At 47.5% G+C, this 1,390-nt stretch overlaps 1 annotated feature.

Annotated features, from left to right (window-relative positions):
* Positions 326–866: an enhancer, noted in NCBI's record as "H3K27ac-H3K4me1 hESC enhancer chr4:66042049-66042589 (GRCh37/hg19 assembly coordinates)". NCBI's record gives its function as "activates a minimal SCP1, AML or CMV promoter by ChIP-STARR-seq in naive H9 embryonic stem cells {active_cell/tissue: H9 hESC(naive)}" and the evidence as "EXISTENCE:reporter gene assay evidence [ECO:0000049][PMID:30033119]".

Genomic DNA, 1,390 nt, shown 5'->3' with positions numbered 1-1,390 from the left:
GACATTTAAGTCTGCAGAGGTTACTGCTGTCTTTTTGTTTGTCTGTGCCCTGCCCCCAGAGGTGGAGCCTACAGAGGCAGGCAGGCCTCCTTGAGCTGTGGTGGGCTCCACCCAGTTCGAGCTTCCTGGCTGCTCTGTTTACCAGCAAGCCTGGGCAATGGCGGGTGCCCCTCCCCCAGCCTCACTGCCGCCTTGCAGTTTGATCTCAGACTGCTGTGCTAGCAATCAGCGAGACTCCGTGGGCGTAGGACCCTCTGAGCCAGGTGCGGGATATAATCTCGTGGTGCGCCGTTTTTTAAGCCCGTCGGAAAAGCGCAGTATTCGGGTGGGAGTGACCCGATTTTCCAGGTGCCGTCTGTCACCCCTTTCTTTGACTCAGAAAGGGAACTCCCTGACCTGTTGCCCTTCCCAAGTGAGGCAATGCCTCGCCCTGCTTCGGCTGGCGCACCGTGCGTGCACCCACTGACCTGCGCCCATTGTCTGGCACTCCCTAGTGAGATGAACCGGGTACCTCAGATGGAAATGCAGAAATCACCTGTCTTCTGCATTGCTCAAGCTGGGAGCTGTAGACCGGAGCTGTTCCTAATGTTTGTTTCTTATCTTAATGAGGAAAGAACCTGGCTGGGTGCGGTGGCTCATGCCTGTAATCCCTGCAGTTTGGGAGGCTGAGGCGGGTGGATCACTTCAGGTCAGGAGTTCAAAACCAGCCTGGAAAACATAGTGAAACCCCATCTCTACTAAAAATACAAAAATTAACTGGACATGGTGGTGCCTGCCTGTAATCCCAGCTACTCAGGAGGCTGAGGCAAGAGAGTCACCTGAACCCGGGATGCAGAGGTTGCAGTGAGCCGGGATTGCACCACTACACTCCAGCCTGGGTGACAGAGTGAGACTTCATCTCAAAAAAAAAAAAAAAAAAGAAAGAAAAGAAAAGAAAAAAAGAACCTAATGCTCAACCTTGGTCCTATTCTCTATCTGTACTCACTGGCTTAGTAAAATAATTTAAATCCCTGGCCTTAAATATAATCACTATGCAAATGATATCCACAACTCTATTTCCAACTCAGCCTTTTCTCCCATACACCCACTTGTATATGCAAGAACCTACTTTCCATGTTTGCTATGATGTCTGATAAAAGTTTTAAACTAAACACATAAATAATTTAATTTCTGGACATCTCCTGAATATTTGCTCATTTCATTGCCTTTCTTATCTCAGTTTTTGACAACCACAACTTTTCACTTTTTAATTTAAAAAATGTGGAGCTTTCCTTGACACGTTTATTACACCATTCTCCAAAAACCGTTTCTTACTATGTTTGACTCAGTTTCAAAATACTGACAGAATCTGACCACTCTCTCCATCACCACTTCTAGAGCTGTGTACAAG

Source organism: Homo sapiens, chromosome 4, assembly GCF_000001405.40.
Source record: "Homo sapiens chromosome 4, GRCh38.p14 Primary Assembly".
Classification (NCBI taxonomy): domain Eukaryota; kingdom Metazoa; phylum Chordata; class Mammalia; order Primates; family Hominidae; genus Homo; species Homo sapiens.
Note: the sequence above shows the minus strand (reverse complement) of the source record. Positions and strands in the feature narration are given on the sequence as shown.